General features: G+C 42.3%; 1 protein-coding gene across 1 annotated transcript in view, besides 1 other annotated feature; it reads left to right on the plus strand.

Moving 5' to 3' along the window:
- RAB39A (RAB39A, member RAS oncogene family) overlaps nt 1-14,792 on the plus strand; it is a 35,035-nt gene that overhangs the window by 16,167 nt on the left and 4,076 nt on the right. The gene's annotated exons all lie outside the window — the stretch shown is intronic.
- Nucleotides 12,606-12,765: an enhancer, noted in NCBI's record as "active region_5476". NCBI's record gives its function as "activates an Ori minimal core promoter by ATAC-STARR-seq in GM12878 lymphoblastoid cells {active_cell/tissue: GM12878}" and the evidence as "EXISTENCE:reporter gene assay evidence [ECO:0000049][PMID:35858748]".

The following is a 14,792-nucleotide window of genomic DNA, read 5'->3' on the forward strand; positions in this document are numbered from 1 at the left end:
GACCTTGTGATCTGCCCGCCTCAGCCTCCCAACGTGCTGGGATTATAGCCGTGAGCCACCGCGCCAGGCCAGAAAGAAAATAATCAAACAATTGCAGAAAAAGATGGTAAGTACTTAAATAAGTTTCAGTGACAGAACAGGAGGAGGAATTGTCATCTGTGCCTAGGGTGATGACCAGTTTCAGGGGATGTATCCCAAAGGAGGTGATGCTTGATTCTGGGACATGCTGAATATGTCAGTAGTAAGAGGACAGTAGGAAACATTAACAATAGAAAAAGAAGCCAGCCAGGCCAGGCATGATGGCTCACACCTGTAATCCCAGCACTTTGGGAGGCTGAGGTGGGTGGATCACAAGGTAAGGAGTTCAAGACCAGTCTGGCCAAGATGGTGAAACGCCATCTCTACTAAAGATACAAAAATTAGCCAGGCATGGTGGCAGATGCCTATAATCCCAGCTGTTTGGGAGGCTGAGGCAGGAGAATCGCTTGAACCCCAGGGGGCGGAGGTTGCAGTGAGCCAAGATTGTGCCACTACATTCTAGCCTAGGTGACAGAGTAAGACTCCATCTCAAAAAAAAAAAAGAAGCCGCCAGCCATGGTGGCTTATGCCTGTAATCCCAGCACTCTGGGAGGCTGAGGTCAGCAGATCGCCTGAGCTCATGAGTTCAAGGCCAGCCTGGCAACACAGCAAAACCCCGTCTCTACAAAAAAAAAAAAAAAAAAAAAAAGTGGTTTCTTGTGAAGATAGCAGATTGAACATCTGTGTCTATTTTAGCTTTTTTTTCCCCCTGAAACCTTACTAAAATGACAATAGTATTTTTTCCAACCATAAATCCCTGAACAAGGAAAACAGGTAGGAGCCAAGAGCAACAAAATTTTGGAAGCAGGAAAGCAAATGGGGAATGGTAAATGAATTCACAGATTCAAGAAAACTGATTTCTGAGCTAATGGTAAAAAAAATATCTAAAACCCAACCCAATGTATACTGTTGAATCCCCCCCTCCAAGGACTTGGGAAATGGTGACACCAGATACTTCTGGAAGTGGGAGTACTAAAATAAGGATCATTGAGTGTCAGTCTGTTTAAGAAGGATGGGATTCTGCCATTCCTTCCCCCATTCCATATATCAAACAATTTTCTCTCCCCCGCCAACCACATTGGCAAAAAACTGGAAACTTATTCTTTGAAAAGAATCAAAAATAGGGTCTTTGGCTGGAAGCACCAGGCATTTTGAGGTTGGGGTTCCTTATTGAAAGTAAGGGCTTTAAGTGAATGTTGTTATGTTGGATGCTAAAACTGTCTAGCCCCCTTTCTCCACTCAGCTCCTCAGAGTGCTGGCAGTCAAGCCTTCACCCTTCAAGCAATACACTGGTAAAATTGTTTCTGGGGATTCTGACCAAGCCAAGAGGAAAGAATTAAATATACCAACATTTGAGTTTGCTGAATTAAATGGTCCAGCATGATCATCTTACAGTGAGGCATTTAGTCTTCATGAAAGATTTCAAGAAATATTAGGAAATTTGTCATGTGAAACCTAGGGACCAAAACAAACAAACAAACAAACAGGAAACAGCAACTGGAGAAACAGAAACTTAATAAGGGAAAAAGAGAATGTTAAAAAACAAAAAAAAAAACCTGTCCTTAATTTTCTCTGAGAGATAAGGAAAACATTGCAACCATAAAGGAACAGGATACTATATATATATATATATACACACACACACACACACATATATATACACACACACATATATATACACACATATATATGTGGGTGTATATATGTGTGTGTGTGTGTGTGTGTGTGTGTGTGTGTGTGTGTGTATATATATATATATATATATATATTTTTTTTTTTTTTTTTTTTTTTTTTTTTTGAGACAGAGTCTCGCTCTGTTGCCCAGGCTGGAGTGCAGTGGCGCTATCTCAGCTTGCTGCAAGCTCCGCCTCCCGGGTTCACGCCATTCTCCTGCCTCAATCTCCCAAGTAGCTGGGACTACAGGCGCCCGCCACCACGCCCAGCTAATTTTTTGTGTTTTTTTAGTAGAGATGGGGTTTCACTGTGTTAGCCAGGATGGTCTCGATCTCCTGACCTCATGATCCGCCCACCTCGGCCTCCCAAGGTGCTGAGATTACAGGCGTGAGCCACCGCGCCCAGCCGATACTATTTTTTTTAAAAAAAAGATTATTCTGTCTGGGCAAGGTGGCTCACACCTTTAATCCTAGCACTTTGGGAGGCTGAGGCAGGCAGATCACTTGAGGTCTGGAGTTTGAGACCAGCCTGGCCAACATGGTGAAACACATCTCTACTAAAAATAAAAAATTAGCCAGACGTGCTCGCTTGAACCCAGGAGGCGGAGGTTGCTGTGTGCACTCCGGCCTGGGAGACTTTGGAAAACACAATAGCAAAACTAAAACACTCAATATAAAGTTGAAAAAAAAAATCTCAAAAGGTAGGACAAAAAGACAGTGACTTAGAAAATAGAAAAAGATGATTTTTTTTTTTGAGACAGAGTCTCACTCTGTCACGCAGGCTGGAGTGCAGTGGCGTGATCTCGGCTCACTGCAAGCTCCGCCTCCCAGGTTCACACCATTCTCCTGCCTCAGCCTCCCGAGTAGCTGGGACTACAGGCGTCCGCCACCACGCCCGGCTAATTTTGTTTTTCTGTATTTTTAGTAGAGACAGGGTTTCACCATGTTAGCCAGGATGGTCTTGATCTCTTGACCTCGTGATTCACCGACCTCAGCCTCCCAACATGCTGGGATTACAGGTATGAGCCACCGCGCCTGGCCAAGATGATTTTTCTTTAAACAATAAAGGACTCTAGTCCAACAAGTTCAATATGCAAATATTAGGCATTCCAGAAAGATAGAAGAGAAAAAACAGAGGAGAGAAATAATTAGTAAAGCAATTCAAGAAAGTTTTCTAAAATTTAGGGACTAGAGTTTTCAGATTAGAATGGCCCACCACAATAGATGAAAATAGAAACACTAAGGCAGTCATTATGAAATTTCGGAGCACTGGAACCACAGAGAAGTTCCTACAAACTTCCAGAGAGAAAAAACAGGACACATTATAAAAAAGATCGATCAGGAATCAGATTGGCTTGAGACTTTCCAGAAACAACAGTGGAAACTGAAAGGCAGTGGAGAAATGACTTCAAATTTCTGAGAAAGGAACAGCATCAACAGGCAAAAAAAAAAAAAAAAAAAAAAAGAATAAAAATCTGAGCAAATTCTCTGTCTTGCCATATTATCACTCAACTGTGAGAGCAGAATAAATCAATATGCAAGATTTCAAAATATTACCTCATGTAGCTTTTTTTAAGGAAGCTACTTGAAGATGAAGATGTGCTATACACACACGTACACACACACACACACACACACAAGTAAACCAGGGGTGAAGAGGACATGGGGTACAAGGAACAGCTCTATCTCTGAAAAAGGCAAGGGAACCTCCCAGGAAGATGGTGAAGGGAGATCTTAGGATCACGTGTGTGCTGCAGATACCAAGGACAGCCATGCCAGATTGGAGCAGGGCAGAAGGTTGTAGGAGAGACCTCAGGAAGATGAAATTGACAGAAAAGCTAATGGAAATAAACGTCTTACAATAAGGCAACTGGCAGAGAGTTTGAGATTGAATTATTGAGAAGTACATGGAAAATTTAGCAAAAAGGAGAAAACGAGAAAAAGACGATGTGGTAGGGACATTTAGTGTTCGTATCTAATGCTTCTTTTTTTTCTTGACACATGGGAGGATTATATTTCCCTTCCCTATTGCACTTAGGCAGCGTCATGTGAATAGTTCTGGCCAGGGGATTTGAGCAGAAGTTGCATGTGGTGATTTTAAAGCACAGCCTTCACCCCGCACCCCTCCCCCGACCACCCCCAGCCGAGAGGGATTCTCAGTCTGTCGCCCATCCCCCAGGCTGGAGTGCAGTGGCGTGATCTCAGCTCACTGCAGCCTCAACCTTTCCGGGCTCAGGTGATTCTCCCACCTCAGCCTCCCAAGTAGCTGGGACTACATGTTAGCCAGGATGGTCTCGATCTCTTGACCTCGTGATCCGCCTTCCTCAGCCTCCCAAAGTGCTGGGATTACAAGCGTGAGCCACCGCGCCCAGCTAAAGTTTGTGTTTTTATAAGTTATCTGTATACTTACCACACATCCTCACTTTTCCTGTTCCCCCAACTTGTCAATATTGTTCACCTTAATTTTAGTAAGGTCATTTCTTAGCACTTAGGTTACTCTGACCATGTAGATACTTTTCGTTGTTGAGCCCTGGAGTACGCTATGACTTTCTTTTCCTTTCCTGCACAACTTTTCCTTCCGGTTAATTATCTTGCATATTAATCAAGATGGGCCAGGTTATGCTACAGTAACAAACAACCCAACTCTCAATAGGAAGAACATTAAAGAATTTGGAGCCAGGCCAATGGCTCACACCTGTAATCCTAGCACTTTGGGAGGCCGAGGCAGGCCAATTGCTTGAGCCCAGGAGTTTGAGACTAGCCTGGGCAACATGGAGAAACCCCATCTCTACAAAAATTAGCTGGGTGTGGGGCACGTGCCTGTAATCCCAGCTACTCGGGAGGCTGAGGCAGGAGAATTGCTTGAACCTGGGAGGTGGAGGTTGTGTGAGCTGAGATTGCGCCACTGTACTCCAGCCTGGTGACAGAACGAGACTCCATCTAAAAAAAAATAGAGAAAAGAACAAAAAGAATGATGTTTAAATGACTTGAAAATAAAAGCTGAATAATTTCAGAAATAAAATGAAATGAGAAAAAGATTCACATCAGTTACAAATTCCAGGATGTGGAAAGATACATGAAATCATACGAAACAAAGCCATATAGAAAAAGCCATATGGAAACAAGCAGCAGTCACAGAAATGGTGGGAGAATTATAACCCAAGAAAACATGTCCTTTCATTATGTTAGATCACATAATCCACTGTGTTATATGGAATATAAAATAATATTGAGAAGCTGGTCATTGTCTCATTATTGTTCTGCAAAAGGATACCAGAAAGCACTGGAATAAGTGCCGAAGTCTTTTATACACTTTCTGGTACCATATCAAATAGAAAATAAGCATCCTTTCATTATCACCTTGAAAACAATTAGTGAAGCTAGAAACATTTCTCATTAATTTCCAAATAAATTATTTCCATTTTCACACATAACTTGTTCTGCCTTCCAGAATCCACTGCAAAGTACGATTTAAATTACTACCCATTTAAATGCAGTAGTTCTTTAGAAAAGGTGGATGATTTTGGCCGGGCGCGGTGGCTCACACCTGTAATCCCAGCACTTTGGGAGGCCGAGGCGGGCGTATTACAAGGTGAGGAGATCGAGACCATCCTGGCTAACACAGTGAAACCCTGCCTTTACTAAAAATACAAAAACAAAAAAAATTAGCCGGGCGTGGTGGCCGGCCCCTGTAGTCCCAGCTACTCGGGAGGCTGAGGCAGGAGAATGGCATGAACCCAGGAGGCGGAACTTGCAGTGAGCCGAGATCGTGCCACTGCACTCCACCCTGGGTGGCAGAGTGAGACTCCGTCTCAAAAAAAAAAAAAGAAAGAAAATGTGGGTGATTTCACCTATATGTGTATAGAGTGTGCAATTTTCAGCCCATTTCTCCCCTTTTGACTTTACAAATCCCTACTGTAAATATTGAAAAGAAATAAGCTTTTTTTATATTTCTCTTTTATTCTCCCATTTCCTCAGCATTTGAATGCTGCCTGGGCACAAGCTAATGAGGTATGAACATATTCAGTTGTTTATTTGTTCATTTACAAATAGTGGTAGGACTCATGCATGCCCAGTGCAGTTTTAAACACTAGGGATACAAAGTTTAAAAGAAAAAAAGTCTGGGCGCGGTGGCTCATGCCTGTAATCCCAGCACTTTCGGAGGCCAGGGTGGGCAGATCACTTGAGCTCAGGAGTTCAAGACCAGCCTGGGCAACATGGCGAAACTTCGTCTCTACAAAAAATACAAAACTTAGCTAGGCAAGGTGGCAGGCGCCTGTAATCCCAGATACTGGGATGCTGAGGTGGGAGGATTAGTTGAGCCTGGGAGGTAAAGGTTGCAGTGAGCCAAGATCATACCACTGCACTCCAGCCTGGGCGACAGAGCGAGACCCTGTCTAAAAAAAAAAAAAAAAAGACAAAATCCTTGCTCTCATAGAGCTTATCTTCTAATCGGGTTATAACAAAATAAACTGTAAAAATTATATAGGATGTCAGAATGTATTAATTGCTACAGAGGAAAATAGAGTGTAAATGCTGAGCAGAAGAGAGTCCTAGGGATGGTAAGAAAGCATCACTATCATAAAATGATTATTTGTTATGAAAGAAAAATAAAAGCCACAGGGGAATTGATTCACATATTCAAATGGGAAATATGACCCATTACATCTTGTCAGTATATATATGGCCTCTACAACCACAGACTTGATTTTTGATGGAAAGATCCTGGAGTTACACAAAGAAAAAGAATCTTAAGATTGTTTGTATGAAGAAAGAATATTCTAAGTTACAAGTGCCAAGTTTCAGGATCTTAAGTGAGGGCAGGGACTGTTAGAGTCAATAATAATCAAAGGAGTAGGGAGGCTTGTGTTTTAGCCTCTTGAAAACAGTGCTGAGGGCCACAAGGCAAGTGAAGCAAATAAAATAAAGCATCAACACAATGACTGTTCCCAGAAGGGCAGTAGGAATGTAATGTCATGCTGAAAAACAGGCACCCACAAGGCTAATGCATTCATAGGCTACTTGATGCCAAGAGACTTTGGCATCAAAGTACTTTTGTCCTCTAAATGCCTATTTTACAGTTGGCAAAGCCACAAGAAGGGCATTTCCAGGGTGGGAACATCTGGTTCATTTTACCTAAGGAAGTCAGCAAGTGCTTACTATTTTGTTGCTTTTTTAAGAGGCCTGTGCGTATCCAACAAAATTCATGATAATAACACATAAGATCTATATAATCTTGCCATTTTCAGATTTTTTTTTTTTTTTTTTTTTGGAGACACGGTCTCAATCTGTCACCAACGCTGAAATTCAGTGGCGCAGTCATAGTTCACTGCAGCCTTGGACTCCTGAGTTCAAGCGATCCTGCCACCTCGGACTCCCAAAGTACTGGGATTATAGGTCTGAGCCACTGTGTCCGGCATCTACTATAAATAATCTTGAGCATTCCAGGGCCTATGGAGTTTTGTCCTTCATTTAACAACAGCATCTTATCTTCAGTGCCTTTTAGGAAACTAGACAACTGTTTAATCTGAGATATCATTTACATTTTTTAGAACCTCAGTAATCATGTCATTTGTGTAAAATTCCAAATTCCCCAATAGATCATTCACACTTGATTGCATTAATCATATATTAAGTAATCTTTGTAAATGTATGCAAACTCCAGTGCTGTCAAATAATCCCTTGTCTATATATTATTTTAGGAAAAATAATTAGAGAGGAAAATCAAACAGTTAATAATGTTTACATAAACAAGGCAACCATTTTGTCTCATTATGCTAAAGCAAATATGTATAAGAATGAACCTTGTGGATGAATAAAGTATGGCATATACATACAATGGAACATTATTCCATTGAGTAGAAGGAAATTCTGTCATAGGCTACAACATGGATGGACCTTGAGGACACTGTGCTAAGTAAAATAAGCCAGTCAGGCCAGGCCTGGTGGCTCATGCCTATAATCCCAGCACTTTGGGAAGCCGAGGTGGGCGGATCACCTGAGGTCAAGAGTTTGAGACCAGCCTGGCCAACATGTGAAACTCCGTCTCTACAAAAAATACAGAAATTAGCTGGGTGTGGTGGCGCATACCTGTAATCCCAGCTGCTTGGGAGGCTGAGGCAGGAGGATCACTTGAACCCAGGAGGTGGAGGTTGCAGTAAGCCGAGACCGTGCCATTGTGTTCCAGCCTGAGCAACAAGAGCGCAACTCTGTCTCAAAAATAAAAATAAAGAAGGCCAGGTGCTGTGACTCACACCTGTAATCCCAGCACTTTGGGAGGCCGAGGCAGGCAGATCATGAGGTCAAGAGATCGAGACCATTCTGGCCAATGTGGTGAAACCCCGTCTCTACTAAAAATACAAAAAAAATTAGCTGGGCGTGGTGGCACATGCCTGTAGTCCCAGCTACTCAGGAGGCTGAGGCAAGAGAATCACTTGAAACTGGGAGGTGGATGTTGCAGTGAGCCGAGATCACGCCATTGCACTCCAGCCTGGTGACAGAACGAGACTCCGTCTCAAAAAAATAAATAAAAATAAAAAATAAAACAAGCCAATCAGAGAAGGACAAATACCGTATGATTCCACCTATACATGAGGTATCTAAAAACTCACAGAAGCAGAAAGTGGAATGATGGTTCTTGGAGGCTGTGGGCTGGGGAAATTGGGAATTGCTGTTCATAGGGATAGGATTTTAGTCATGTAAGATGAGAAATTTCTAAAGATCTACTGTACACCTTGGCACTTAAAATTAACAGTGCTGTACACTTCACTGTACACTTAAAAATTGTTAAGAGGGTAGATCTCATGCTATGTGTGCTTCACTGCAGTTTTTTTTAAAAACTGAACTTTAGTCTTGTAAAGCTATGTTGAAAGATATAAGAGATTTGTGAGCTTGTTTTGTACCATTTTTTTCTTACAAAGTCTATGTTGACTCTATTGGTCAGGTCCTTGGTTGCCTGCAACAAAACCAGCTTGAGAACCTTATTCAAAAAAGAGAGTTAGTAGAAGAATGGTTGAGGTGCAGAGACTTGATGGGAAAGTGGAGGCCAGGCTTGGAATGAATCAAAAGATCCTGGGAGTCTGGGCAGTAGGAACTGCAGGAAGCCAGTGTGGTCCCCATGATACTGTTGCCCCCTTTCTGCCTGCTCACCCCCTGCCATAAGAAGCTCCAAATGGCTAGTCGGCAGCTTCAGCTGCTAATTCAGTAGAAGCATCACGGGGTTTTCTAGTGAAAGCATTTCTCCCTTGAATACTAAAACGTTTATATCAGCAAAGTTCAGAGTCACAGGGATTAGATGCAACAAAAAATTTTAGTGACTCATTAAGTGGAATTGTGAGAGGCACCATCACCCTATTTTCACCCTTTGCTTCCCACACCACAGCTTCTGTTTATGGGGAAAAAATACCACCTACTATCTTGCTCACTAATTTAGAATGTAGACATCCTGAAGGATTATGCTAAAATCTTACAAGGTGTCATCTCCTGGAAATGGGCACACCTACCTCTTAATAACCCATTTCACAGTTTTATAGGGCCAGACGCCTCTAGATGATAGTGGTGTGATATGATCAATGAATCCCATGGCATCATTCCATTTCCCTATCTCCACCACTGTTAAGTGAATTACTTGATCTGTGGCAATGTGTAGGATACCATGACTATGTATAAGGCAGTCTGCATGTTCATGGATGGTGGTACTAGCATGGCCTAAATCCAGATTAAATATATTACAATGAGGACATATCTGTGTCCCCTCAATGATGGTCCCCCAGAGTAAGGTACAATATTCAGGATGTCGGTAGCTACTGGAAAACTGGTAGTAAGCAATAACAGTTCAGGCCAACCTAGGTAAGATTAAGTCTATTGAGCCCAGGTACAGCTTCCATCTCCCTACCATGAGTTCAAAGTGGGATAAAAATACTGTTTGATAATTACAGGACAGGACATTTTGTTCCATTGATTATTAAAATTTTTTCATGGCGGGGTCTTTCGGTGGCCATTCACATAAGATACAAGAATGCACATACTCTAGACTCATCAACAGACCTCTTCCTCAGACCTCCTAATTACCAGCCCCGATCTTGTTTTTTACCCAGCATGCCAAACCCTTCGCGTCTGCTCATGACTTGGTGTGGATCTTTACCTACGTCTCTCCAACTCTTCCTCTGGAAAAAGTAAACAGTGAGATGTAGCACTAGAGATTCCACAAATGGAACTTTTCCACTGACCTTCAAGTTCTCCATTGAGCGTGGCTTACTGATGCCAGCATATTGTTTAGAGCCATTTGTAAGACAGACTTGAATTTTTTTCCTCTGTAATTATAGGGAAATCCAGATAAGGCCATGAGTTGAGAGGGTGCTGTAAGAATAGATGTGCTGGGTCTGTGAACTTTGTTATTCCAGGTCCATTCAGGTCCCACCGCATATTCCTTCCTATATATGTGACCTCTCCTTGGTGATGAAGCTCCAGCCTGGTGAATCAGAACACCCAGCTTATGATAGACATTCAGATTGCACAGTCACTTGGTGTTCTACCATCAGGCATTTAGTCTCTATCAAAGCCAAGTTATAAGCCAAGAATTATTTTACAAAAGTATAATAGTATTTGACAAAGAAAGCATGCTTTTTTTTTTTTTTTTTTTTTTTTTTTGAGACAGAGTCTCGTTCTGTCGCCCAGGCTGGAGTGCAGTGGCCCGATCTCGGCTCACTGCAAGCTCCACCTCCCGGGTTCACGCCATTCTCCTGCCTCAGCCTCCCGAGGAGCTGGGACTACAGGCACCCGCCACCATGCCCGGCTAATTTTTTTGTATTTTTAGTAGAGACGGGGTTTCACCATGTTAGCCAGGATGGTCTCAATCTCCCAACCTTGTGATCCACCCACCTCAGCCTCCCAAAGTGCTGGGATTACAGGCATGAGCCACTGCACGCGGCCAAAAGCATGCTTTTATTCCAAAATGCCACTTCTGTAATTGTCCAGTGGAGGTTTCCTGGGCCTGATGAGCATTCCAGGCTGCTAGAGGTACTTCAGGCAGGCACCATTAGATCTGATGGACCATGGGCCAAGTGGGCTTGCACTGTAGCTTGGACCAGCCGAAGGGACTTCTCTTGCTTTCAGCTCTATCAAAGCTAGCAAGCTTTTGGGTTTTCCACTTAATGGATCAGAGAAGCACATTATACTGATAATGTTTCCTCCAAAATTAAAAACGGTTCACGCCTGTAATCCTAGCACTTTGGGAGGCCGAGGCAGGCGGATCACCTGAGGTTGGGAGGTCGAGACCAGCCTGACCAACATGGAGAAATCCCATCTCTACTAAAAATACAAAATTAGCCACGTGTGGTGGTGCATGCCTGTAATCCCTGCTACTCAGGAGGCTGAGGCAGGAGAAGTGCTTGAACCTGGGAGGTGGAGGTTGTGGTGAGCCGAGATCACACCATTGCACTCCAGCCTAGGCAACAAGAGTGAAACTCCATCTCAGAAACAATTATAAAAATTTTAAAAAATGAAAAAGTTTCACCAAGTATTATGCATTTTTTTTTTTAGTAGGGGGTATAAAATATGGTAACTTTTCTTCTTTGGAGAGGTTTCATCAACATACCCCTGATTAAAGGACTCCCTTCCCCCAAGAAACTTCACAGAGATTGCTGGCTACTGTATTTTCATTGGATATATCTTTAGGATGTATGTATTTCTGAATATATAATTTATCCACCCCCTCCAACACTGATAATGCTCATAGCAACTCAATGACCTCAGTGTGAGAACATAAGACCACACTAGTAATAGATATAATGTTGGGCACCTTTCTTTTTTTGCACTGCTAGTATCTCTTTCCCTCAAACTTCCTCACTCTCTCTGATATTTCTCCTATTTTCACAACAGCTATGTAAGTGGCTTAGACCAAATCAACCATTCATTCATTCACTAAGGTGCACTGAATGCCCACTATGTGCTAGGTACTTGAAAACCATTGATATTCAACAGTGAGCAGTATTGACATGGCACCTGCATGACTCTGATAATCAGCAAGCCAGTAGCATGGATCCAGAAAGAGGAAAGGAGGGAAAAGGACGCTATACAAGAGTACTGACCTTGAACACACAATGATCCTGCCCACAGCCTAAGAAACATACTCTAGCCAAACAGAGCAGCCATTTGTCCTTCTATGGAGTGATTAGTAAGAGGGTTAAAATGTGCCTCCAGTTCTCTTTTATGGGGAGAGGAAGGTTGAATGGAACTTCCATTTCTTCCTATAGTAGAAGCATAAATGTGAGGAAAAAAGGAAGAGTTTCTCCTGTTATTAGCAGTATTCCTCAGCAGTGTTGAGTGCCCACTTGGGATTGGTTATAATTAATTCATAGTGACACCAGCCTGCCTGGTTGAGTGATTTTCCCCGGAAACATACAGCTGCATGCTGGACTGATCCAGAGATAGAAGTTTCCCAGATGAATATGACAGAGGGAAAGAGGCTTGGAAATTGAGATATTTCCAAGAGAACAATTATAATGATGTCTCATTGAACTCAAGATATGGAAGAAGGCAAAGGTAGGAGAGTATTAATGGATAGAAAGTGATAGAGTTGGTCAGTGGATTACAAATCTTGATGAAATTAAAGAATCACCACAGTAAAAAAGAATAGACAGGCTGGCAGACTGTGAGGTTTTGATATTTTTAGTGGACTGTGTAAATTTCCAGTTTTGGAGGTAATTAATATTTCTGATGAAAAGGAAATGGATAAGAAAGGAAGAATAGAGAGAAAGGTTTATTAGAGATGAGGGAGTCAAGGAATTTGAGAAGTGACACCAGGCAGCTCATCCAAATGGATGTTGAAATCAGTAAGCAGAATGACAGGAATTGAAACAGAAAGAAAAACAAAGTGCTAAAATCTTTAGTACATGGAGAATGACCAAGCAGTTGGAAGATGACAGCAGTTGGCAGAGCCAGATGGCATAAGCCTCAAAGGAGCAGGAGATTTTTTTTACAACAGGGGTTGGGAAAGAATAATTATCAGGAAGTTGCACTGGGGAAACAGAAGCCATCTCCTCCTGATCCTAGAGAATGGGCAACGTGAGTGTGCTGCAGGGGAAGCAGTGTTCTCAGGGACCAGCAGTTTTCAATTAAGGCAAGGAAAGGAGACTGCTCCTCTGGCAATGGGATAAGATTTGCTGATAGTGTAGCTTTCAAAGTATGAAAGAACCAGCAGCTTTCTTTTATAATTAAAACCAGATCTTCCACTTGAGAGGGACAAGCGACTGCTAGGAGCTTATAACCCCGAACCCTCTCCTCCAGAATTCACCTTCCCTATCATCACATCACCCTCACACTGTATTTAGGGGTTTTGTATCTGCTTTATCATTCTTGCCAGAGAATAGTCTCACCTCTTCATTCCCTCATAACACACCAGACCAGATTAGAATCCATGCCATTTATTTCTCTCTTCCTTCCTTGCTTCTGTTCTTTTCTTCCCTCCATTCCCTGACCCCACAATTTTTTTCCTTCCCTTAAATCATCCATTAATTCAGGGAGACTTTTTTTTTTCTTTCTTTTTTTTGAGACAGAGTCTCTGTCGCCCAGGCTGGAGTGCAATGGTGTGATCTCAGCTCACTGCAACTTCTGCCTCCTGGGTTCAAGCAATTCTCCTGCCTCAGCCTCCCAAGTAGCTTGGACTACAGGCATGCACCACCATGCCTGGCTATTTTATGTATTTTTGGTAGAGACGGGGTTTCACCATGTTGGCCAGGTTGGTCTCGAATTCCTGACCTCAGGTGATCTGCCCACCTTGGCCTCCCAAATTGCTGGGATTACAGGTGAGAGCCACTGCACCCCACCCATTCAGGGAGACTTTCAAAGCCTAGAGGGAAATAGACATAAAGTGCCATACTACAAGAGATTGTTGCTTAAAAATAATTGTTACTCCTCATCAACTCTTCAGTTCCTTACAGGGAGGCCTCCCTACCTAGTGCTTTTAGAGTCTGTTCCCTACCTTCTCATAATTCCTTCAAGAACTTCTAGAGACCTAAGTGTCTCAACTTATGGGAGGAAGGTCAAGAGAAAGATAGCTGCTCCCTCAACACCTCTGTAAGACCTGCCTTTCAGTTCAAGTTTTCCATCTGAAGCTCTGCTTCTTCCCCCAGATGATTGATAGCAACAGTGCCCAATTGTTTTAGGAAAAACACTACCTGCAGGACAACTATATCTGAATCTGAAGCCCCACAGACCCACACACAGAAGCTAGAAATCAGGTTATTACATAGAAGTGACAGATGTTATATTGAGTCCTTTTATTCCCAACTAATTATTAATAAGGGTTTTTTTATAATGTGTATTACATATACTTTGCTATAATTTTATTCTGTAGGATGATTTGCCAACTGTAATCTAAATGTGTTTTCAAAATTAAATACAATCAGTTAATAGGGTTGCTTATTTTAAAAAGAAAATAAAAAATAAGTTTTTTGAAAAGATAGTATTTCCTGGCCGGGCGCGGTGGCTCATGCCTGTTATCCTAGTGCTCTGGGAGGCCAAGGTGGGTGGATCACCTGAGGTCAGGAGCTCGAGACCAGCCTGGCCAACATGGTAAAAACTCATCTCTACTAAAAATTAAAAAATTAGCTGGGCATGGTGGTGGGCGCCTGTAATCCCAGCTAGTCAGGAGGTTGAGGCAGGAGAATTGCTTGAACCTAGGAGGCAGAGGTTGCAGTGAGCCAAGATTGTGCCATTGCATTCCAGCCTGGGCAACAGAACAAAAACTCCGTCTCAAAAAAAAAAAGAAAAGAAAAGAAAACATAGTATTTCCTACAGTGAAAAACATGCCTCTGTGTAATACATAAGCATTTCAGCATTGAGTTTTCAGCCACAAAAGGCATTTTTAAAATATTCTAGTAATGGTAAATTAAATGGATAGGAGGGATAAAAGTGATGCAGGCTTGATGCTGAGTAAATTCAAGCTTTCAGTCTAAGAACATAGCCTTAATTAGATTTCTCTTAAGACACTGCACATCTGCCTAAATTCACACATATAAAGATGAGTGACAAAACAATAAC

Source organism: Homo sapiens, chromosome 11 (assembly GCF_000001405.40).
Source record: "Homo sapiens chromosome 11, GRCh38.p14 Primary Assembly".
Classification (NCBI taxonomy): domain Eukaryota; kingdom Metazoa; phylum Chordata; class Mammalia; order Primates; family Hominidae; genus Homo; species Homo sapiens.